At 49.6% G+C, this 21546-nt stretch overlaps 2 long non-coding RNA genes across 2 annotated transcripts, besides 5 other annotated features; one reads left to right on the plus strand and one right to left on the minus strand.

The window, feature by feature from the left end:
* Window positions 5190-5239: a silencer, noted in NCBI's record as "silent region_7831". NCBI's record gives its function as "represses an Ori minimal core promoter by ATAC-STARR-seq in GM12878 lymphoblastoid cells {active_cell/tissue: GM12878}" and the evidence as "EXISTENCE:reporter gene assay evidence [ECO:0000049][PMID:35858748]".
* On the minus strand, window positions 8625-10143 carry LOC105371389 (uncharacterized). The gene is made up of 2 exons (XR_933854.3): window positions 10000-10143; window positions 8625-8944 (listed from the first exon to the last, which is right to left on the minus strand). It is a non-coding gene; the product is annotated as an uncharacterized LOC105371389 (long non-coding RNA).
* Window positions 8732-9232: an enhancer, noted in NCBI's record as "H3K4me1 hESC enhancer chr16:86081532-86082032 (GRCh37/hg19 assembly coordinates)". NCBI's record gives its function as "activates a minimal SCP1, AML or CMV promoter by ChIP-STARR-seq in naive H9 embryonic stem cells {active_cell/tissue: H9 hESC(naive)}" and the evidence as "EXISTENCE:reporter gene assay evidence [ECO:0000049][PMID:30033119]".
* Window positions 9233-9733: an enhancer, noted in NCBI's record as "H3K4me1 hESC enhancer chr16:86082033-86082533 (GRCh37/hg19 assembly coordinates)". NCBI's record gives its function as "activates a minimal SCP1, AML or CMV promoter by ChIP-STARR-seq in naive H9 embryonic stem cells {active_cell/tissue: H9 hESC(naive)}" and the evidence as "EXISTENCE:reporter gene assay evidence [ECO:0000049][PMID:30033119]".
* A 117-nt stretch (window positions 10144-10260) lies between the features above and the next one.
* LOC105376778 (uncharacterized) lies at window positions 10261-21011 on the plus strand. The gene is made up of 2 exons (XR_933855.2): window positions 10261-10431; window positions 20785-21011. It is a non-coding gene; the product is annotated as an uncharacterized LOC105376778 (long non-coding RNA).
* Window positions 11824-12458: an enhancer, noted in NCBI's record as "H3K4me1 hESC enhancer chr16:86084624-86085258 (GRCh37/hg19 assembly coordinates)". NCBI's record gives its function as "activates a minimal SCP1, AML or CMV promoter by ChIP-STARR-seq in primed H9 embryonic stem cells {active_cell/tissue: H9 hESC(primed)}" and the evidence as "EXISTENCE:reporter gene assay evidence [ECO:0000049][PMID:30033119]".
* Window positions 13729-14362: an enhancer, noted in NCBI's record as "H3K4me1 hESC enhancer chr16:86086529-86087162 (GRCh37/hg19 assembly coordinates)". NCBI's record gives its function as "activates a minimal SCP1, AML or CMV promoter by ChIP-STARR-seq in naive H9 embryonic stem cells {active_cell/tissue: H9 hESC(naive)}" and the evidence as "EXISTENCE:reporter gene assay evidence [ECO:0000049][PMID:30033119]".
* Window positions 21012-21546: the final 535 nt, after the last annotated feature.

Here is a 21546-nt window from a genome sequence, read left to right on the forward strand (position 1 = left end):
CTGCAGCGTTCCGCCCCCAACGGGACGTGATCGTCACTGATGGAGACCACAGATAACTTCTGAGGTTACGTGAAAGCAGCAACATAGATTGTGAAGCATGAGTTGAGTCTGGCAAAGCCACTCTGCGTAATGCCAGGGCCTCCCTGCCTGGCATTATGTCCTGAGTAAGGGGCAGCGCTGGGATCCTTCGGACTCTATGGCCGTGCTCCAAAGCAAACAGATATGCAAATATCTTTTAATGAGAAAGAAGCACACGCTCGTAAAATTCAAACAACACTGCAGCTTGTAAACTAGGCACTTTTAACACACGGCCACTGCATTCTTCCATACTCCTCTCATTGAGAGATGGGGTCACTGTCCCCTTCCCTTGACTCTGGGGGCTTATGACCACATCCCCCAATAGAGTTCAGTGGAGCTGGTGCCATGTGACTTCGGAGGCCAGGTCAGGGAAGGCCATGCAGCTTCCTCCTGGTGCTCGAGGGATGCTTGCTCTGGGGAAGGCTGGCTGCCATATGAGAAGTCCTACAACCCTAAGGCCGGCATGCTGAAGGGGCAGGTGTGGGTGCCCCGGTCCTCAGTCTGGCTGAGCTCCAGCCAGAAGCAGCTGCCTGCCATGACAGAGGACCAGCGCGAATGTCCAGCCACGAGGGACGGCTAGCATGGACATCCAGGCCTGTTGACGGCAGAACCTGGAACTTCATGAGAGCACAGGGCTCATCCTCCGTTCCCTTGGTGTGTGGTGTGTTCGTGGATTCACTTACTCACTCGTAACTTCATTTATTCAACAAATGTTGATTCAGCACCTTGGGCCAGATGTATTTTGAAATTCATGTTTGTTTTTGGATTTTAGCAAGGCAATAGGGGTATTAGGGTTCCCCAGAGAAACAGAACCAGTAGGAGATATTGATCTATTGTCTCTCTCTCTCTCTCCCTCTCTCTCTCTGTCCCCCCTCTCTCCCTCTCTGTCTCTTCCTCTCTCTCTCTCTCCCTCTCTCTCTTCCTCTTCCTCTCTCCCTCTCTCTTCCTCTCTCCGTCTTCCTCTCTCCCTCTCTCTTCCTCTCTCCCTCTCTCTTCCTCTCTCCCTCTCTCTTCCTCTCTCCCTCTCTCTTCCTCTCTCCCTCTCTCTTCCTCTCTCCCTCTCTCTTCCTCTCTCCCTCTCTCTTCCTCTCTCCCTCTCTCTTCCTCTCTCCCTCTCTCTCTTTCTCTCTCTCTCCCTCTCTCTCTTCCTCTCCCTCTGTCTCTTCCTCTCCCTCTCTCTCTTCCTCTCCCTCTCTGTCTTCCTCTCCCTCTCTCAGGAGAGGGGCCTGCTCAGGGAAGCTGCTCTTGTGGCTGGACGTCCGCGCTGTCCCTCCCTTGAGGCTGGACGTCCGCGCTGTCCCTCCCTTGAGGCTGGACGTCCGCGCTGTCCCTCCCTTGAGGCTGGACATCGGCGCTGTCCCTCTCTCGAGGCTGGATGTCCATGCTGCTCTCCCTTGTGGCTGGCAGTTACTGTGGCTGGCATCCAGTAGTCCAGCTGGACTGTGAATCGGGGCCCCTGTGCTGGCCCCCTTCATTGTGGTGGCTCAGGGTTGTTGGACTTCTTATGTGGCAGCCGGCTTCCCCCAGAGCGAGCGTCCCAGTAGCACCAGGCAGAAGCTCTCTGCTCCTCTGATCTGGCCTCAGCAGTGAGGCAGCATCGTTTCTGTTGATTCTTTTGGCCAAGTGACCACAGATCCTACCCTGATTCATGGGGAGGAGACGTGAACTACCTCTCAATGAGAGGATGATCAAAGAATGCTGTGGTCATGTTTTAAAACTGCCACACTTTATGTTAATTAGCTTGATTTAATCATTCACATCGTACACATGTATCAAACCATTAAGTGGCACAACATAGATACATAGAATTCTTCATTTGTCAATTAAGAGAAATGAATAAACATGTATGGGATGAGTTTTTAAAAAGTGCCACACTTTATAAGCTCTAGTGTTGTTTGAACGTTTACAAGCATGTCCTTGTTTTCTAGTTTTAAAAAGGCATTTGCATGTTTTTCTGTTTGCTTTGGCTATAAAGTCTAAAAGATCCCACCTCTGCCCCTTGCTCAAGGAGCCTCATGTGACTTTCATCTTCCTCTACCTCTGCTAATTTCCCCTCTGAGAAGAAGAGAATAGGCTTCGGATCACAGCTCCTTGGCAAGCAAAATAACAAGGATATCGCGAGAAATCAGTGAATGCCGTTGTTTCGCGGTCTGGTACAGGAATACCAGGCCTTCGCCAAAATCCTAAGCCTTGTGCGTTCGAAGTTTAAATTTCCCTTGGGCAGTATGGTGTCTGTACAGCGATTTGCTTAACACTTTTAGTGGGTTCTGGGGAGTCCCTTATTACTGTCTCTTTTTTATCTGTTTCTTCAGCGAAAAATGTGATTTTCACACTAAGTAGAATAGAGAGACTACAGAGAGCTCCAAGTCAGTTCAAGTCAGGTTTGCCACCAAAGGAGAATGTACCAAATTTACAAATAAATAATAAATAAAAACAAAAAGAAAAAAATCAAACAAACAAAACCCTCTTGCTTTTCAGAGCCTTGGGTTTGGGTTGTGAATGAGGGATTGTGGCACTGTGTTAGTTTTTATGGTGACCTTCCATTTCTGGAAAGCAGGGCTGATTTTTCTATGATCTTAATGATATGCAGTTGTCCCTTAAATAAAATAATATTTAAGTGAAAAAAGTTGAAATATAGTGAGTAAACGTAAACAGAAACCACTGGTGGAATGCAGATGTCCCCAAAGTGTGGTTGTTTCCCCTTGAATGACTTAAATCTGAGGAACTCAGATCTAACCCAGCCCCTACTCGAACTGGGAGGGAGAAGTGACTCCTCTGAGCTCCTCCTGGGAGATGGCGTCACAGGTTTGCAGGGCTCAGGTCCCAGGTGAAGGGGCACAACATGCCCCAACTCCCAAAAGGCCCCCCGTTTTCCTCCATTCTGGTAACTACCCTTCCCAGGAACCACAATGTGACCTCTGTCACCACTGAGAAGTCGTTTGAGTTTGAGTTTATGGCTGTGGCATGTGGACTTTTTTGATCATCTTTGTGCTTGTGACTGTGTGGTTGCCAAATTCTCATTTTCTTTGCTGTGTAGTATTCCACGGGGAGACTGTCCTGATTCACTTACCCATTTTACCATCGATGGACATTTCGGCAGGACAGCCACCAACATTCGAGACTGTGCCTTTTGGTGAATGCGTATCCCTGTTTGGGGTGGGAATCTGCCCAGAAGTGTAATTTCTGGGTCACAGGGGGATTGTGTGTTCAGCGTCAGTAAATCCTGCCGGCTGTCAACTTCAAAAGAGGTTCTAAAGTCTTGCCACTCCTGCTGCTTTGAAAACCTGCCTACCCTTTGCTATAAATAGGCAATTTTAAAGGATTTGTTTCTTTGCTGGTTTTAATCGCCTTGAAATTCTTGGCGACATAAAATATGCTCCAAAGGGGATAAAGAGAGAGTTGTGAGAGTTCTCGTTCAAATAAATGGCCTGTCTTCTGGGTCGAAAGGCAAATCCATTCCTTGCACGACAAGCCTTTGTTCCCTTGCTCCTTGTTTTAATCCTTATTTCTTAGTCCGTGAATAAAACTCCAGGGATCCTGTCAAGTCATGTAACATTGGTTTCATTTTTATTCCTTTTGGCAGGTGCTGGCTTCCCCTGGCTTCAGATGAAGTTATCGGGGTTGGCCTCACTGCCCCCCACCCCAGGGTGCAGGCAGTCCCTGCCTCCCAGGTGTGAGTTGCCCCATCACCAGGAATTTTGCAGCAGCTGGGCTATAAAACCAGAGAAGCTTTGCGAGGGATGTGGCTCAGAGATGCTGAGGTGGGGCTGGTGGCTCCTCGTGCTCCACCCTGGCTGCCCTGTACCTGCTGCGGGTGACAGTTGACACACCCACGTCTTGGGCTCCCACCTGCTGGCTCCCAGTGACTTTGGCTGCTGGGGCCACTGGGCAAATCCCAAGAACAGGAGGTGGCAGGGTTGGGGTTTTTCTTATCCTGTCCCCACCCTGTTCTGCCACCACAGCCCTGACCATGGCTGTATCTCTCCTGCTCGGTGCTCCCTCTCCCACTGGCTGGTGACACTATTTCCTTCCCTTGTCCCTTCGGCCCTGGGGTGGTCACAGTTTCCTGCTGCCGTTCATCTTGGGGTCTCCATATCCCTTACCTGTCCCCTTGGCTCTGCCCGCTGTGCGGTGAATGGGCCCTGCAATGTGCTGTTTTCACTTAAACTCTCTGAGGGGGGTCACTGTTTTCTGCCAGGACTGGCTCAGCCTGAAATCAGCGGTCACGTTCTGGACTGGCCAAACCTCCAGAAGCTTGGCACTCTTGGTGTCTCTGCGGGGTTCCTGCCTTGCTGGGACTCCTCTTGCTGTCTGGTGGAGCCTGAGGGCCTCATGGTCAGCAGAACAATGACTGCCAGAGCTATGCATGCCCAGATCTCCAGAGCCCATGAGTATCTGCCCTGTGGCATGCACATGTGACTGGGTTAAGGACCTTGCAATGGGGAGAGTATCATGGATTATCTGGGTGCCCAACGTCATTGTGGGGTCCCTGTTGGGGATGGGGCAGGAGGTTCAGAGTCAGAGAAGTGCTGTGAGGGTGAAAGCAGAGGTTGGAGCCATGCAATTGAGGGCTGTGAAGATGGGGGAAGGAGCCGTGAGTCAAGGAATGCGGGTGGCCTCTGGAAGCTGGAAAAGGTGAGAGGCCAGATTTTCCCCTGGAGCCGCCAGAAGGAACCAGCCATGCCCACACCTTGGATTCAGCCCAGTGAGGTTGTTTGGGACTTTGGCCCTAAGAATTGTAAGAGAATGGATCTGCGAGGTGAACTCAGTTTTGGGTCCTTTGTTACAGCAGCCACAGGAAATTCTTCTTGGAATAAGGTTTTTAAATCCGTAAAACAAAACGCATAGACTTATACAGGAGATGGATTGTACAGACCCACCGTCCCAGCCACGCACCCCGTGGTGGGTGCCGGACCCTGCCTGTGCCCTCCTGCATTCCCCTCTGCAAGCTGGAGGCTGTTTATCATCCGCACACTTGGGTTCTAGCCAAGGCCTTTGTCCAACCGCAGAAGCTTCCTCAGACCATGCGGGGCGAGCTGGCAACACAGGAAAGTCAACGTTCCCAAAGCAGCCCTTACTGTGGGATGGGGGTGTGGTGGACAAACATGGCCTCCACCAGGGGGCGCGATGCATCTCCCGTTCCCCTAAGCTGGCCTCCCGGTGCCCACTGTGCTGGCTGGCCTGGGGACTGCCATTTGCTGGCCTCCCTGTCTTCCCCTTTCTCACCCACCACTGCTGGTTTCCCAGAGCACCTCCCAGATACGCCTATTGCACTGGAAGCCTCATCTCAGGGCCTGGTTCTGGGGGAACCCACATCCAACAAGAGCCTGGGCGTTCATGAAGCCCTGGATTCCCACCCACACTCTATGCCAAGGCCTTTGGCTGCCTCTAGGGATGGTTCCAGAGCAAGCGTGGGCACCGCACCTGAAGGCAGTCATTCTCTGAGGTCGTCAGTGGCCCATTTCAGACCTTGTGTGGGATTTTGGTTTACCGAGGAGCAGCGGAGATGTTATGAGCTCAGTGGTGACCCCCGGACACAGATGTTAAAGTCTCAAACCTTGGTACCTATGAATGTTGTGAATGTCACCTCACTGGGGAAACGGGTCTTTGCAGATGGAATTAAGTCAAGGATCTCAGGATGGGATCATCCTGGATCAGCCAAATGGGCCCTGAATCTAGTGACCAGTGTCCTTACAAGAAGAGGAAAGGACAGAGAGGCACAGAGAGAAGGCCCTGCGGGGACAGAGGCAGAGATGATGGCTACGTGGCCACAGCCCAGGGCTGCCTGGAGCTCCCAGGAGCTGGAAGAGATAAGAAGAAGCCTTCCCTAGAGCCTCTGGAGGGATTGGGGGCCCTGCTGACACCTTGATTCCAGACTTCTGGACTGCAGAACTGGGAGAGAATACATTTCTGTTGTTTTAAGCCTCCTCCTCTCCCCTCCCCAAGTTGTAGTCCTTTATGATGAGGCCACAGGACACAGGCTTACTGATGCGGATTTGATTCTTTCTCCTTGACTTTGGCCTGGGCCTGGCTCCAAGATAAGATGGGCTGTGTGGCCACGAGGGTGGCAGGGGAGCCAGCTGCACGAGGTTCCCATTGGAGCAGGGCCAGGAGGGCTGCATGGCTTGTGCTGGGCTTCTGGGGCCCAGGTGAGCCAAGCTCCTGCAGCACCTGCCAGCGCATGGGCGGAGCTGGCTGTGTGTGGCAAAGTGATCAACACTTAGTTTCCTGTTTGAGGGATCATGGGAGATCCCCCCTTGCGGTTGATGTGGTGACAGCATGTTCATTTTAATTGTGGAGTATTCCATTCTATGAACACACCGCCATTCATGTACCTATCTCCCTGTTGATGGGCATTGGATAATTTCCAGTTTGGGCCTATTGCAATTCTAGCACATACTATGTACTGCCATGAGCATTCTAGAATGCACCTTTTGGTGACTGTACGGATGCCTGTCTGTAGGGGACACGCCTAGGCGTGGAATTGCCCAGCCACCAGGAATGACACTCAGGCTGAGCTTCCACGGTGTTGGACCGAAGTAAACCCCCGCTGGCAACACAGGTTTCTGGATTTCTCACAATGTCCTATTAGGTTCTTGGAGCCCCTGGGTGAATTTTTTTTTTCCCTTCGAGTCCTCCAAACTGGGGGCTTCTGATCCAGCCAGAATCCCAGGAGGTGCAGATCTGGCAGACCCTGCCTCATGCTCTAGAAGGGAGAGCCTTTCAAGGGACCCAGTTATCTATCCCATGGTTATCTCTCACCCTATGACCCAGTGATCTCCACAATCCAAATTCCTGCCTCTGAAGTGGAGGCTGGTCTTTGATGTTCCCTTTGGGGAAGATCTGAGCTCCCTAAGATGGCCCAGGAGGCCTGGGACCAGGCTCGAGCTGGCTTCTGTCCTGGGTCTTTTGCCAGGCTGGCCCCCTGGGGAAGTGGGAGTTCTCCCTGCAGGTTTCGCCTTCAGAACTCCGGAGCTCCCCAGAGAAGGAGACTAGAAGCTGCCTGGCCCACTGATCAAAGGGCCGAGTGTTCCCTTATCAGAGCAGTAAGGTGAGAGGGGGTGAGGAGGGAAACCTAACAACTCCTCCAGCCACATAAAATGTGAGGAGCGCCTACAATGTGCCAGGCCCTGTGCCAGGGGCTGGGCTCGGTAACAAGAGAGACCCTCTCCCACTGTTTGAAGTTTGCGGGGCTGAGCTTGGAGGAATAGGGCCCAGAGGAATGCATGTTTTATGGAGTGCGGAAGGAGGAGCAGGGTGGCTTTGAGAGACCCTGGAGGATGTGGTGGGTTAGGTCAGGGGTCACAGAAAGCCTGTGGGAAGTGGCAGGGGAGGGGGCTGGGCTGGCAAGCACGTTCCTTTTTGGAAAATCATGGAGCTCTTCACATATGACTTAGGTATTCTGTATCTTGAATAAAAAATTGTTAAACTGTTAAATCTTTATCTTGAATAAAGAGCTTGTTGCAAGCTAGAACTCTTCCAAACAGAGACCAAAAGAAGCTTCTGGAGACCACGTTGTCCCTGCCCCGCATTTGCCCACCCTCAGCCGTGGTGGACCCCATAGATTAAAAACCTCAGGGGAAGCCAGAAAACTGTTGTGTGAGGGCTGATATGGGCCCTCTGTCCTGAGAAGAAAGGAGGACACCCCGACAGGAATGGGGTGGCAGGTCAGGTGATATCATGAGACCGGGAGGCAGCAGCCTGGGGGGTTCATGCTGCCTATGCACCAGGCAGGAAAGTGCAACTCAGGCAAAGCCAGGAGAGGGAGAAAGCAGAGTGGCTGCTGGGCAGCCGCTGAGGGGTGGGCGGTGGGACTGACTCCACAGGAGGTGTGAGGGGTGGGGAGGACCTGGGGTGACCGGCAGGATGAGTGTCATTTGCAGATAAAGCATGGCCATGGGAAGCCTCAGAAGGTGTTTGAACAGGGGCTGATGTGAACATGTGAATGTAACCAGGCTTTAAGGAGAGTGCTTGGGCTACGGTGATGTGGGGGAAGGACTAGAGTTACAGGAGTTAGAGGTGGTGGGGGGCTGCCTATAGGGAGTGTGAGGGTTGAGGGAGGGAAGCTGGAGAGGGACTGGAGAGGAAGACCTTGATTGGAGACACCCTTTAGGGAAAGGAGTGACCTCGATAGAGCTTGGAAAATAGCTGGAAGGAGGAGTAATGGAAGAAGACGCTGAGGTCCTAGGGGGATCTGAGCGGGTGTTCATGTTTCCCACTCATGTGTACTGAGCGTTTACGGTGGGGCCAAGTTTTAAATCGAATTATTTTATGTCATCCTTGAAGTAACTTTAAGAAGTAGGTTCTATTATTACCCCCACTTTGCAGATGAGGAAAATGGGGAACTCTGATGTCCAGGTGTGTGTCCAAAGTCACACATACGAAAAGTGCCACATACCAGAATATGAGGGGTTGGAGAGCGGGTAGGGCAGCCAGGACCCTCCTGCAGTGCTGGTCGGGAATCTAAAATGAGGCCAGGATGCTGGAAAATCCATCCAGCCCTTCCCACTCTAGATGTATACTCAAGATAAATGAAGGCAAGGGAGTTGTGTAAACACATCTGCAGTGGCTTTATCAATAGTTACCCCACCATGGAAATAACCCAGTGTCCATCGTAGTGAATGGGTCAACCAGCTGGAGTCTATGTGGACACTGGGACATTGGAATCCCACTCAGCAGCAAGAAAGCCTCATGGAGGGATGCAACCATGTTGCAGAAATCTCCAAACCAGGCACAGAAGATGACCTCCTGCACGGCTCGATTGCATGTTCAGGAGCAGGTCCTTTCACGGATTGACTGTGACAGCAAGGCGATCAGTGGTTGTCACAGGCGGAGAAGGGGAGATATTGACTGGAATGAGAATTTCCTGAGGAGATGGAAATGTTTTGTCTTTTGATCTGGGAGGGGGCTATATGGGTGTATCTGCATGTAAAAATACATGGACACTGTACACTTAGGATGACAGTTGCACCCTCAATTTTTAAATGTCAGCTCTCAGCCCTGCTGGCGCTCCCTCCTCCCCTGGACCCAGGCAGTTCCGGGCCTGGGCTCGCCACTCTGCCCGGAAGGGGGAGGGGGGAAGGGGCACAGTCCTGCTGTTCTCTCCCTGCCTGGAGCCTCCTTTTCCCCTGCCGCTGGCTCCCTGGAGGAAGTGGAGAGGTCTTATCAGATCCGCATCTGTGACCCCTGGGCAATAGAGCATCAAAACCTGCCCCGGCCTGGCCTCTGCCTTTTGGCTCCTGGGCGCCAGTCGGGTTCCCAGAGATGGTCGCACTCTCTCTAGCTGGCAGGAGGGCGCCTCCCACTCCCTCTCCCTTCCCTTTCTTTCCTCTCTCTTCTCCCTGCCACTCCCAACCTGTCTTTTGGCACCGTGGGAAGCTGAAAGCTTTAGGCAGATAAAAGACATGGGGTGTTTTTCATGAGTTCTCAAAGGGACTCTGATTAATAATAGTAGCGATAATAATCCTAACTGCTACTTATGCACAAATGCATTGATCTCATTTATTCTCCAAGACAATCCGGGGAGGTAGATTCTATTATTCCCATTTTAGAGATAGGGGAACTGAGGATCAGAAAGGCCAGGCTGCTTGTTTGGGGACCCACAGTGAGTTTTATGGCAGGATTTGGACCCGGTTCTGAGTGGCTGTAAAGTCTATGCTTGTAAATGCATTTTCCCTTTCTCCACACTAACAGAGTTGCCTCCTATGTGCCAGGCACCCTGCTGTGTGCTCAGACAGACAAAGCCCCGTGGTCAAGGAGCTCCCCTTGGAGTTGCCTGTGAGGCCTCCACACCCTCATCACTGACAACCTCTGGGGGGCGCCTGTCCTCACCACCTGTCACTGTCTCATCCAATTCTCCCCACCTGTCACTGCCTCATCCAATTCTCCCCACCTGTCACCGCCTCATCCGGTTCTCCCCACCTGGTGTGGTAGGGGTGGGGGTTATTACCCCATTTCGCAGATGGTGAGATGGAAGCACAGATGTTTCTTTTTCAATGTTGACCAGCCAATAAATGGCAGAGCTGGGGAGAGCCCAGGCCTTCATAGCCCATGGTAATGACCACTGAGTCCATGGCGATGACCCCTGGGTCCGTGGTGATGACACACCTGGGTCCATGGCGATGACCTCTGAGTCCATGGTGATGACACCTGGGCTTATATCAATGACCAGTAGGCTCACGGCAATGACTGCTGGGTGATGCTGCCCCAGGGACCCCATGGCCAAGTAGGCAGCGCTGTTGCCTCTCCTACCCCCCCAAGCCTGCAGTATGTGCCACAGGATGCCAGTGGGCCATCCTCCCCTTGGCCCAACACCTCCTCAGCTCTAGTAATGATGAAAGGATGGCATCAGTGGTGAGCACAGCTATACTCCATTCACGTATTCGTTGTTCACTCGACAAGTATTTACTGAGTACGAACGACCTGAGAGTCTCTGCAGGTTCCTAATCGAGGCATTTGCTTTCACTTCTGCCACTTACCAGCTGTGTGACCTTGGATAGGACTTGGAACCTCTCTGTGCCTTGGTCTCCTCTTCTGTGTAATGGGCATAATGAACACAGGTGGTATCCAAGGCTGCCGGGGCTCAGCTGGGGAGAGTGGTGCTGAGAAAGCCTCCTGTGCGCCAGGCCCAGTGGTGGGGAGCCACTGCCCCTGAGCTGCTGGGGGGAGGTAAAGCTTAGTGGTGAGGAACACGAGGTTCTGTCCCTGCGAGCACCTGAATCTCATGGCCTTCACTGCCTTGTCTGTGAAATGAGGCAATGACAGGATGACCACAGAGTGATTGTGAGGGTGAAATGAGCCCCTGAGAGCTCGGCTGGGAGCCTGTGCGGGAACTGCCCTATAATGTCACCTAGCAAGAGGCCCAGTATTAGACATTAGCTATCCTTCGATATTAGCTATCATTAGACATTAGCTATAATAGCAGTTAGACTCGGGGAGAAGGCAGGAGCAGACATTCCATCGACAGATGTTTGTGAGAAGGTCAGTCTCTGAAGCAACACACGGGGGTGTCCTCCACGTCTAGAAACATCCTAGCCGGTGGGGGGCTTCCCCAGTCCTGCCGAACAAATCCATGCCCATGGTTCACACTTCTCACCTGCCTTCAGTGTGGGCAAATTTCTCAAAACCCTCAGGCCCTGCTGGGTTGCAGAGGATCAGACAAGACGTGCTGAGAGTTTATTCTTTGGAAAGAGGTGCTGACTGTTCCTGTAGCTTCACAAGAGAAGCTGATCTTTCTAAGGTGTGTTCATGGGACACAGAACGTGTCTAAAGGGCAAAGAGCAGGTTAGAATCGTGCCTCTTCTTTGAGCATCTGTTCCATGCCAGGCACAGAGCTAGGCACCTGGAGGGGATGCAGCACCGATGTCCCAGACCCTCTCAGAGGTTGCGCAGCAATCGCTTCCTGCAACACGCCCAGGGGGTACTGGTAAGCATCAGATGAGTGACTCCTGTAAGTCACGTAACACAACCCCTGATCTGAATAAGTGCTTTGTAACTGTAAGTGTTTGTAACTGGGGCTGTGGGAGCTGTGATCATGTGCTTAGGCCCTCCTGGCAGTGCTTCTGCCTGCTCAAGTCCCCTGACCTCTCAGACCGTGTTATTTATCTGTGCGTGGAGATGGTAATGGTTGTTAGGACCAAAGGAGACAGCACACGACGCCAGCACATGGCAAGCGCTCCACAAACAGTGGCTGATGTTCCTTTATTCCCTAGGGGGATTTGCGCCACGTGGAAAGGTGCGGACTGTCACTCATCAGAATCCTAGCTCCAGAGGAGAGAGAGTTGGTGGATTTGCAATACATGGGGAGGGACCAGAAACCAAGGGGCCAGATTTCGAAGGGGCCAACCTGGGGCCTGCTGAGAGCCCGAAGAGCATGGGTTGAAATCCCGACTGGGGCCTTTCCAGCTCTGTGATGCTAAGCAGACTACCTAGCCCCTCTGTGCCTCAGTTTGTCTCTTGTGCAATGGCAGCCGTGATAGAGTTGACCTCCTGGGTGGTTGTGAGGACTCAGGGAGGTGGCACTGGCAATGCTCTCAGCCCAAGGCCAAGGCTCCCCAATGCCGAGCTCTCCCCATAATGATTTCCTCTGCTGAGCAGAGGCAGATGACATCAGCCTCTTTCCTTTCAAGGAAACTCATCTGCAACTGGTTCCAATAAAGCCAGGATGGCTGGGCCAGGGAGGACAGGAAGTGTGGAAGACCCAGGGCTCCTCCCGTGGGCCCAGGAGCCAGGTCACACCAGGGTCCTCGAGCCCCTCCTGAGGACTTGGGGGCCAGAGGGCTTCCTGGCCAGAGGTGGTCAGCAGCGCGCTGGGGAGAGGGTCCCTGGGGGAAGGGCACACGCGCTGCCCTGTCTCCCTCTTCCTCACACCCCCTTCCTCCTCCTGGGCTGGCTGTTGACATAGTGAGGAATTGCTCCCAAGGCAGTGTGGAAACACAAAAGGACGTGGCGCAGCAGCAATAAATCACGATTTATGTCCTCGGAGCTGCCGGAGGATGCTGGGGCTTGTCATGATTTCTGGAGATTCACTGAGCCAGACGACAAGCCGAGCTCCGATGCCCCCATGGTCAAGTGCAGATGGGACCCAAGGTCCCAGCCTGGGGAGGTGCCCTTTCCTTCAGGGCTGGCCGAGGATGCCCAGGGAGGTCAACATGGGGAATGGCTGGATGCATCCAGGGGGCTCTGACCTCTGAACTACCCCTGACACCCGGCCGTGGCAGCGTTTTGTCAAATCAGGATTGGAACACCTGCTTGTGTTGAGGGTGTGCAGGTTCCCGAGGCCGACTTTGAATTGGTGGTGGAAGCTGAGAACTCTGGACAGCCAGAGCCTTTTGGTCCCAGCAATGCCTGGGCGGGGCCGCCTTGTTGGGGTCCTCATGCACCAGGAGCTCAGGTCCTCTCCTAATAGGGCAGCTCTCGTTGCCCAGGGGCTGCTCCCAGCCTAGGATGCTGCAGAACTCTCTGGAGAGACCCGCAGAAAGGCCTCCGCGGCTCTGCCCTGCCTTTGGCGCACTCCAGGCTCCTGTGCTCCAAAACAAAGGGACCAGTGAGGCCGGGACCTCCGCCCCTGTGTGGCCCACAGGTGGATGTGAGGCTTCTGTGATGTGCCTGGCACTGTTCTGGGAGTCGGGGGTGTGACAGGAGCGAAACTGAGCCACTTCCTGGGGTGTGCAGGCCATGACCATCCAGCCTGGAACATGCTGGGGGAGGGGGCTCAGTGTGTGAGGGCAGCAAAGGGACTTCTATACCTGTCAGCTCCTCCAAAGCGCACGCCAGCCCTGGGGAATGAGGAAACTGAGGCTTCCAGTGGGCACATGACTCGGCCAGCCTCATGTTGGGTAAACATAAAGTAAACCTATGCATAAATGTAGGGTAAATGCAAATAAAATATCGAGTAAGTATAAATATAGAGTAAATATCAATAAAAATAAAAAGTCAGTAGAAATATCCAAATAACTATAAATGTTAACATTACTATAGAGTACATGGTCAATATCAATAGAAATATCAAATCAATAGAAATATCGAATAAATAGAAATATAGAATAAATAGACACAAAAATGTAGAGTAAATATAAATCTAGAATAACTATCAATATCAATACAGAGTGCCGGGGGCATGCAGAGCCTTGGGCAGCCGGGGGCTCCCCTGAGGAGCACCCGCAAGGAAGCCTAAGGCAGCGGTGGGTTATCCAGGCTGGGAGGGGCAGAGGGAGGGCCAGGCTGGGAACTGCCTGAGCAAAGGCCTGGAGGCTGAAGGTGCAAGCGAGTTGAGGAGGAGCAAGGGGCCCTGTCTGGTGCAGTACAAACAAGGCAGATGGCTGCCTGGGAGACGGTGGGTCTCAGGGATCATTGCCTTCTGGGGCTGCGATATTAGTTTCAAGAGAGGCTGCCTCCTGGCTCCCAGCCAGCAGACCCCAAGGCTGAGGCCCAAAGGACCTTGTTCTGACTTGGTTTCTGCCAGCTGGTGTTGGCTGGTGTCTTCCCTGCCTGTCTGCCTGTCTGTCTGCAAAGACCACCCTCTGACTGCATATCAACTCCCGTGGCATTGTGAGTGAGACACTTCGTGGGGGAGGGGTGCCTGTACTGTGCTCTGATCAGATCCCGAGCTTTTTCCGGGTCATGGACCCTGTGGTAGGTGGGCTAAATCTATGAGGGCATCCTCAGAAAAATGTTTGTAAATGCACACATTAAAATGTGCAGGGTTACACAAAAACCCACAGCCTATGATATAGAAAACAGCTATCAAAAGCATTAAACACACCGACTGGTACATATACACCATGGGATACTATACAGCCATAAAAAGGAATGAGATCATGTCCTTTGCAGGGACATGGATGAAGCTGGAAGCCATTGTCCTCAGCAAACTAATGCAGGAACAGAAAACCAACCACATGTTCTCACTTATAAGTAGGAGCTGAACAATGAGAACACATGGACACAGGGAGGGGAACAACACACACTGGGGCCTGTTGGTGCTAGGGTCGGGGGAGGGGAGAGTATTGGAAAAAGACCTAATGCATGTTGGTCTAAATACCTAGGTGATGGGTTGATGGGTGGAGCAAACCACCATGGCACACATTTACCTATGTAACAAACCAGCACACCCTGCACATGTACCCCAAAACTTAAAATAGCATAAAATAAACAAAAAAAACTATGATAAAATATATATGTTGGGTTTCTTTATTAGCAGATTAGATGACAAGATCTAGAAGCAGGGCTGGAGTCTAAGTACCATAATTGCAAAGTGGTGATTAGCATAAACGGCGCTTTGAGAGAACTGTAATGACTCGAGATGTTAAGAAAGCATCTGTGATTCTATTGGTGATAAAGTCACAGCCACTGCTAATGCCCCTGTGGCTTGTGCCTACACTCATCATCGAAAAGAAAAGTGCTAAGTATCAGCACGGGGCTAGTTAAAATAAAGAGGAACCTTCAGGCCGGGCGCGGTGGCTCACGCCTGTAATCCCAGCAGTTTGGGAGGCCGAGGCGGGCGGATCACGAGGTTAGCAGATTGAGACCATCCTGGCTAACACGGTGAAACCCCGTCTCTACTAAAAAATACAAAAGTTAGCCGGGCGTGGTGGCGGGCACCTGTAGGTCCAGCTACTTATGAGGCTGAGGCAGGAGAATGGCGTGAACCTGGGAGGCGGAGCTTGCAGGGAGCTGAGATCGCACCGCTATAGTCCAGTCTGGGCAACAGCAAGACTCCATCTCAAAAAAAAAAAGAGGAACCTTCATTTAATTTCATGGAGTTCTTGAATTGTTGGTGGGGGAGGTCTGTGGATTCCTTTTCTGGAAGAATACCTTTCCTGGATGTTGACAGCACAGACCTTTTCCTTGGCAGTGGTCACAGTCAGCCCAGTGGTATCTAGGGTCACTTTTCCTAAAAGGGTTGTGGGATCTGGGGCTTGGGACAGTCCCTGGTGTTAGCTGTTGAAAATGACGTGTCATAGGTAGAACGTGCTTTCTCAGAGCCAGGCGCTCCTCGAAGCCCCTTATAGGCATTACCTCATGTTACACTTACAACCCATCTTTGATATAGGCTATTCATTCATTTGAATATATATTCAATATCTAGAATATGTTTAAAGCTGTGTTAAATGCTGTTGGCACCGACGGCATGCCTTCTCTCATGAAGCTTATGATATAGTGGTAAGAGACAGACATTGACCGAATAATCACAGGGAAACCAAATGGTGCTCTATTCTAGGACACAGTGGTTATGAAGAGGGGATTGGCTTAGCTGGGTGGAACTTCCCTATGGAAGGGCGAGTGAAAAAAGGTGGGCTTGCCTAAGGAGCCCACCAGCGCGTGAAGATCTAATGGGTAGGAGTGACTTTGTGTAGACATGAGAAGAATGCCCCAGGCAGAGGAATAGCTTGCATGGTTCCCATCTTACAGAGAAGGAAACCAAGGCTCAGAGAGGGTCACACTAATCATGATGGAGGCAAGATGCTCACCCAGGACTGACTGATTCCACTGCCTCTTGTCTTAGCCAGGTGTTCAGGGAGACAGTTTGTTCTGTAGAACCAAATGCCCACGAGAGTCATCTGAACATTGTGCTCTTTATTTGCTGTGTCCAGCAAGATTCACTCAGGGCATCAGTGACCTTTGAAGGTAAACTGGTCCCTTAATAGCTGTGCTGTTTAAGGCAGGGATGAGAAAATCATCCCCAAGGACTTTGGAAATCTTTGCTGATAAAAAGCCACTGGAGACTTGAAGGCAGAGAAATGCTGCCTGTTGTCAAATATATTGGGAAAAATCAATGAATATTTATAAACCTACTCATTGAATTAAATATTAGACCAGCATTATCCTGATTCCAAAGCCAGGCAAAGACATTACAAAATAAGAAAACTACAGGCTAATATCTCTCGTAAACAGAGACACAGATATCCATAACAAATATTATCTCATTGAATCCAGCAATATATAAAAGGATAAGATTACTACTATCAAGTAGCGTTTACTTCAGGAATGGATAGTAAAACATATGAAAATAACAGAATATTAACAGAAAGAAGGAGAAAAAAATCATACATTTATCTCGATACATGCAGAAAAAAACTTCCAAAAATTCAGAACCAATTCATGATAAAAATTCTCAGCAAACTAGGAATAGCGGAAAACTTCTTCAACCTGATGAAGATTCATTGATAGGCGAAAAAACTACAGCTGCTATCGTGCTTAATGGTAAAGACTGAATGTGTTCTCCCTAAGATCCGAAGCTAAGAAAAGATGCCCCCTCTCACCACATAGTATTCAACAGTCTACTGGAGGTACCAGCCAATGTGATAAGACAATACAAAGAAATATTGATTAAAGAGAAAGAAAAAAATGTCATTCTTCCTAAATGGCATCATGGTATACATAGAAAACCCTGGCTGGGCACTGTGATTCACGCCTGTAATCCCAGCACTTTGGGAGGCCAAGGTGGGTGGATCACCTGAGGTCAGGAGTTCCAGACCAGCCTGGTCAACATGGTGAAACCCCGTCTCTACTAAAAATACAAAAATTAGCTGGGTGCAGAAGCAGGCCCCTGTAATCCCAGCTACTCAGGAGGCTGAGGCAGGAGAATCACTTGAACCTGTGAGGTGGAGGTTGCAGTGAGCCAAGATTGCGGCATTGCACTCCAGCCTGGGAGATGAGCAAGACTCCATCTCTCAAAAAAAAAAAAAAAAAAAAAAAAAAAAAAAAAAAAAAAGAAAGGAAAGAAAAAAGAAAACCCTAAGGAATGTAGAAAAAACTTCTAGAACTAATAATACATGAGTGCAGTATTAGCACCCTATTAGGCCAATTTTAAAAACCACGCCAATTATGTTTCTATACAGCATAGTTTCTCCTTACCACAGTTTTGCTCTTGCAGTTTCAGTTGCCCATGAGCAACTGTGGTCTGGTAATAGGTGAGTATAGTGCAATCAGATATTTTGAGAGAGACAGCACATTCACAAAAATTTTATTAATACTATAGTATATTGTTACAATTGTTCTTTGTTTTTTGAGACAGAGTTTCACTCTGTCTCACAGGCTGGAGTGCAATGGCATGATCTCGGCTCACTGCAACCTCCACCTCCCAGGTTCAAGCGATTCTCCTGCCTCAGCCTCCCGAGTAGCCGGGATAACAGGCACCTGCCATCATGCCTGGCTAATTTTTTGTATTTTCAGTAGAGACGGGATTTCACCATATTGGCCAGGCTGGTCTTGAATTCCTGACCTCAGGTGATCTGCTCGCCTCGGCCTCCCAAAGTGCTGGGATTACAGGCATGAGCCACCATGCCCACCTTCTATTTGATTATTACTTATTGCTGTTAATCTCTACTGTGACCAGTTTATAAATTAAACTTCATCATAGGTAAGTATGTATGGAAAAATACATGGAATATTTAGAGTTTGGTAGTATCTGCACTTCTAGGCATCCACTAGCGTCTTGGCATCTATCCCCTGCAGGTAAGTGGGTCTACTCTAGCAGCAATTAATAATTGAAAAATAAAAAATTTAAAAGATCATTTAAAATAACATCAAAACCATAAAGTATTTAGGGATAAATTAAACCATAAAACCCTTGAGTTTTTTGGTTTGAGAGAAATTGCAGAGAGAAATTAAGGAAACTAAACTCAAATAGAGTGATAGATCTTGGTTATGGACTGAAAGATTCACTGATTTGAAGAAGTCAGTTTTTCCTAAGTTGATCCATAGATTTAATGTAATCCTATTAAAATCCCAACAGTCTTTTAAAAAATAAAAGACACAGGCAAGTTGACTCTAAAATTTAAATGGAAATATAAAGTACTTAGGATAGCCAAAACAATTTTGTAAAACAAGGATAAAATGAGAGGACTTACATCACCTGATTTCAAGCCTTCTAAAATGTATTTTATTTAATCCAACATATTTGAGACATTATCATTTTCAACATGTAATCAATAACACAGTTATGAACGAGACATTTTTACATTTTTTTATTTCCAAGTTTTTGAAAGATGGCATATATTTTACACTTACAACACTTCTCCATTCAGACCAGCCACATTTTAACACTCAATAGCTAAGGTAGCAAGTGGCTACCATTTTGGACAGATTATGGACAAAAATTTGCTTTAAACATTATCTCACAGCATTTAATAAATTACATCAAAGTAGATCATAGACCTATATATAAAGGTCAAAACTGTAAAACTTCAAGAAGTAAACATAGAAAAAAGTATTTACAACCTTGGGATAGTGAACGATTTGTTAGGTAAGACACAAAAAGCATAAACCATGAAAGAAAAACTGATGATTGAACTTAGTCCACCTTTAAAAGTTGTGTTCTTCAAAAGACAACATTAAGAAGATGAAAAAGTCCACCCCAGTCACTAACTGGGAGAAAATAGGATACGTGATAACAAACTTTTATCTAGTATATTAAAAACCAAACAAAACAACAACAACAAACAAAAACTGGTTACACTCAATAGCAAAAAACCAGCAAATATATGAAACAGTGGGGAAAATAGTAGAAGACACTTCACACAAAAGGATATATGGATGGCCAATAAGCGTATGAAAGATGTTCAACATCATTGGTGATCAGGGAAATGCAAATTAAAACACAATGAGATAAATATGCATTAGAACGGCCAATGACAAAGCCTGACAGTATCAAGCGTTGGCGGGGATTGGAGCAACTGCAGCTCCCATTGCTTTGGAAAAGTGGCACAGTTTCTTACAGAATTCAACACACATTTACAATGTGACCCTGAAGTTTAACTCCTAGACATTTCTTCAAGAGAAATGAAGACATACGCCCACAGAAAGATTTGAACATGAATGTTCGCACTTACTTTTTCATTATAGTCCTAAACTAGATACAATTCAAATGTCCATCAGCACGTGAACAGGTAAACAAATCGTGGCATATCCACACAATGGAACAGTACTCAGCAATGACAAAGAATAAACTGTTACATATAATATCCCTGAATCCCAAAGACAGGCTGAATGAGACAAGCTTATCCCAGAAGAGAAAATACTGCATGATTCCACTTATCTGAACTCCAGAAAGACAAATCTAATTTAGTAACAGAAAGCAGATCAACTGTTGATTGGGGCCAGGATTGGGGGAGGGGGCAGGGATTGCCTGAAAAGGGGCTCTAGGGGACATTTTGGGGTGATGGAATGAATATTCTATATGTCATTTGTGGTGGTATTTACATGGGTGATTTAAATTTGTCAAGACTTGTTGAAATATACACTCAAAACAAGTGCATTTTACTGTATGAGTCCCATTAATATTTTGGAGTATGTAAAAAATGATGCTGCAGTCATTTTCTTCATACATATTCACGTATATGTCGTATTTTACAAAGTCAGAGTCATGTTGCATTTACTATTTTGTAATTTCCTTTTTCCACTTAACAGCATCTTGAAAACATACTTGCCCATCCACAAGACCACTTCTATACCCACACTTTCAATGGCTGCGGAGGTACCGAACCCTGTGTCTGTACCCTCATGCACAGCATCCAATTCTGCCCGTGGGACTTTGAGTCTTGTTCCCACTATCTGCTATCAAAACCATGCTCAGTTGAGCATCCTCCAGTTTCATCTTTGCTCATCAAATGGCTGCTTTAGGCTGGTTTCCCAGCAGTGGTGGGGCAGGATCAGAGGGTGTGGACATTGTTAAGGCTGTTGATTGGTAAAGCCCCGCAATCTATGACCGCTGTAGGAACTGGATCCCCCATCAGGGTGTGAGACACCCTTTAGGCTGTATCCCAGGAACCAGCAAACTCCTGTTGGCTCCCTACCCTGGGTTTTTCTTTGCCCACTCAGTTTTATCGGAAGCAAAGAACTGATGAGAACCTAGAGCCTCCATGCTATTCTTGAGGGCATGTGGGTGGAGGTGCTCTGGGGAGGGCTCTGGCACCTGCAGGGGGAAAGATTCCAGCTGCTGGGAGCATTTCCCTCCCTCTGCGCTCAGGGAGGCCTGTGAGTGGGAGGCTCTTCTGCTTGGCAGGGCTGGGCAGCAGCCCAGGCTGGGAGCCACACTCCCCCAGCCCACTGGGACTGGCCCTTCCTGCAGCGTTAGCTGAGGCATTGTGTGGGGGACCTCACTTGAAGCTGGGTGGAGGTGAGGGGGTGGGGGTGGGAGTGAGGATGGAGCTGGTGGCCCAGGGCCAGAGCATATCCTAAATTAGAAACCTCCATCGTCTGTTCCAGCTGGTGTCTGAGAAAGGCTGCCATGGTCAGCATGAAAGCTAGTGATTACGTGAGCGGAGTCTCTGCAGAGAGAAGCAGTAACGCAGGCCTCGGCAGCTTCTGGCTTGTTCCAGGGCCCTCCCTGCTCCGCGGGACCACAGCACTCGATGCCTCCCTGACCCCTGACCCCTGGCCCAGAGCCGGCCTTCCCTCAGGAATTGCTCGGAATAAAATTTTCCAGAAGGCTTCCTTGGGCTATTCTCATTTCTCTCCACTCCTCTCCTCCCTTGCCCTTCTTCTTTCAAACAGATTAAAATCCCTCTCTGCAGAGACCCTTTGCCATGCCCTGTGGGGTGGGGGACACATGGCTATTCTGAGGTCTCAGCCCTCCAGAGGTTCGTATTATTTCATTTTTCCATTTAAAAAATATTTCAAAGAGGCATTAAGTACAGAGGGCAAAACTCCTTTTGGACAGTGAGAAGGACTCCAGGGTGGAAGAAATTCTCCCTTTCATCCCCTGCGCAGGGGCTCGGTCGGGGAGGGTTTCCAGGTGTCCTCACGCCCTGCAGGACATGCAATGGAGAGCGCTCCGGATCGGCTCCCACGGTGCCCTGTCCGCCTTTTCCGACTCCCTGCCCTTCAACAGGGGCTCTGGGAGATCCTGGAGCCCTCAGTTGACAGAAGAGCCTCCTTCCTTATTAGCCTCTGGGCTGCAGGCTAAGGGCCAGGCATGGCCTCTGGACTTGGCTGGCTCCTGGGGCCCGCGTCTTCCCCTCTCTGACA

Source organism: Homo sapiens, chromosome 16 (genome assembly GCF_000001405.40).
Source record: "Homo sapiens chromosome 16, GRCh38.p14 Primary Assembly".
NCBI lineage: Eukaryota > Metazoa > Chordata > Mammalia > Primates > Hominidae > Homo > Homo sapiens.